The sequence below is a fragment of the Homo sapiens genome, chromosome 6, assembly GCF_000001405.40.
Source record: "Homo sapiens chromosome 6, GRCh38.p14 Primary Assembly".
Classification (NCBI taxonomy): domain Eukaryota; kingdom Metazoa; phylum Chordata; class Mammalia; order Primates; family Hominidae; genus Homo; species Homo sapiens.
In genome coordinates this window covers 137,612,725-137,615,468 of record NC_000006.12, presented here as the reverse complement: position 1 = coordinate 137,615,468, position 2,744 = coordinate 137,612,725, and the positions used below count along the sequence as shown (strand labels likewise).

General features: G+C 35.5%; 2 annotated features.

Moving 5' to 3' along the window:
• Positions 1–1,220: an enhancer, noted in NCBI's record as "POU3F2 HCT in OLIG3-TNFAIP3 intergenic region, chr6:137977079-137978298 amplified region (NCBI36/hg18 genome assembly coordinates)". NCBI's record gives its function as "activates a mouse minimal Fos promoter in transgenic zebrafish G0 embryos {active_cell/tissue: midbrain}" and the evidence as "EXISTENCE:transgenic organism evidence [ECO:0001131][PMID:20363979]".
• Positions 753–968: a conserved region, noted in NCBI's record as "conserved region; HCT with multiple POU3F2 binding motifs". NCBI's record gives the evidence for it as "EXISTENCE:sequence alignment evidence [ECO:0000200][PMID:20363979]".

Here is a 2,744-nt window from a genome sequence, read left to right as displayed (position 1 = left end):
GGCTATAGGCATCAAGTCTGTCATAAACCTATTGTGGGGCCTTGAGGGAGACAAAAAGAGTTTGGCCTTTGTTTTTGCAACAGGGATAAAACTCACAATATTTATGAGGAACAGCTAGTAAAGGCAGAAAGGGCTATAGTTTTGAGGAAAAAGTAAATGTTCAAACCATAACCTTGTTTGGTCTTAATTTGTGTTAACGGGGCCAAAGCAAGGTGTTTTTGTTTGCTTTGTTATTGTTTTAAATGACCAAGTTGCAAGAATAGTAAATCTACCCCAATTTTATCATGACAAAGTATAGCTACAAAAACAGCCTTCTGAGTTGCATAAAAAAAGAGTGTGTATTCGCTGTTTCAATAGCAAAGACTACCTGTAATTATTTCCTCAGTGGGGCTGCATAAAACTTGTATTCCATTTAATCTTATACTAAACAATTTCTATATTTCATGTCATAGATTAGAATGAAAATGGAGATAGTTCGTCAACACTGATCTGTGATATAAAAAAGAACAGCGAAGCGGAGGGTATGAGAGTGCATAAAAATGTTTTGTGTTCTGACCAGTACATTGCTTTAAAAAAAATTTTACAGTCAGGCCCAATTGTTCATTCTCACCATGCAGAAGATACTCACATATTCATTTTTAAAAGGGCAAATCAACCATAATTCAGTTTATAAACTGTGAAGCTGGTTGCGAATGTCTGGATGAATATTCATTAGAATCTCTTAATCTGCCATCGACTGTGATTCATTAGGCATATGTAAATATCACTCACTTTAATTGCCCCTAAACTGACTTAACATAATATTGTCATTAGCAAATTATTAGTTATTTGTGTAACTAATGGTACATTATGGTGTGCACATTAAATCTCCAAATATATGATTACAATTATGATGGTGTTTTATGCTGGGGGTTTTCTAAACTATTTTATGAAATATAATGGAGTCAAATCAAATCTGGTATGTTAATAGGACAGTTGTGCAACTTTTTTCTGTACCTTGGTGCTGTTATCATATCCCAGCTCCTCACTCTCCCTGACATTTGACTTGCTCTAGGTTCTTCCTATTCTCCTTCCTGAGGTCTTAGGAAATTTCTCATTTCCATTCTTCCCTGTTTTACCTAATGGGTTCAATGTCAGTTTGCTTTTGGTAAAAGTGATTTTACCAAATCACTTTTAGGATTGTACCAAATCAAAATAGGCAAAGAAAGTGTAGAAGACCCTCCTGAACACTGATGTGAGGGGATAAGACTAGCACTGAATTTAATCAACCTCTAAGAGCTTTACTCCACATAGTAGTATGTGGGGGACTGGCATGTGACCTGTATAAATTCATGAAGTGGGGAGCTGTGTTGCAGCTATTTTCTCCAGAATGATAATCATCTATGAAGAATTTGATACCACCTAGGAACCATCTTGCCTTCATAGCATTCCTCTTTCTGAAATTTGAGTTTACCTATCCCTCCATCTCCCTAAAGGACTTATTTTGCAACAGTGTCATATACAAAAAGAACTTTCTCTAATCTCCATCTCCACAGAAATATCAAGATGTTTGTTTTTCAAAAAGAATCATTCACGAAGCAAGCTCATAGGAATAAAGTTGATCCAGCACACTGGCAGAAAAGGAATTAGTGTTCCTTTAGTCTCTGTTAATTGCCTAACTGGTGACAGGAATATGTTAATACAAAATGAGCTGACAGAGGCAGGAAGCCTTTTATCATGTTACCCTCCTAAATATTAGGACATTAACAGGCCATTGATGTTTAAAAAGAGAGATCCAGATAAATGCATGTTCCTGTCTTTGATAATCCTCTAGATTAATTGCCATTTTATCTTAATTTAATAAGAGATCCTTTTGGTTAAAAAAATGCTTACACATGAAAAGAAATTATTGAGATAATGACAGCATAATGAATATAGATTGTGGTACAAATCTCCTGAAGAGATTCCAACATTCCAGAAACATGGTCAAGCGTTATTGTATTTAAAAGAAAGCAATTTTTTTTAGTCTAACATACTTCAGGTTTAACACTACTGCCATAAGGTAAAACAATACTGGTTATTTTGATTGATGGTGAGTGACTGAATTCCTCCCTCCAAGAAGCTTAATTGTGAGTTTCTGAGCTCTCTTTTAGCCAATATCATCCCTCCCATTTTACAAAGTGGTCAACTGTGGTGCCACTTCTATACTATACATACTTCTGACATAATCTATTATCTTCTGGTTGATAACCATGCTGTCCCCTCTACAGTCTATAAGTTCCACAAGGTCAAGAGCTTGTGTCAGTACAGAAGTTGACAAATGGGTCAAATTTGGTCTGCCACCTGTTGTGGGTTTCTTTGTAAATAAAGTTCATATGGAACACAGCTATGTCCGTTCATTTACTATGCCATTTGTCTATGGCTGCTTTTGCTCCATAATGGCACAACTGAGTGATTATAACAAAGACCATATTGGCCCACAAAGCCTAAAATATTCACTATCTGGCTCTTTACAGAAAAAGTTTGCCAACCCATAGTCTAATATATAGAATTTTGCCAAAAATAGGTGAACGAATTAATGAACAAATGAATGATGCTCCTCAAACAATCATCTACCTTGTGGCTAAAATTTATGCCTCAAATAAATTGGACAGCCAATGATTTGTCTTGTAGTTAAATAGAGTTTGGCCACTTCTAACTGCTGTCACAAGGATGTCAAAAATATCTAATTTATTTGAGCCCTGATAATTTGATGACAAAGCGTG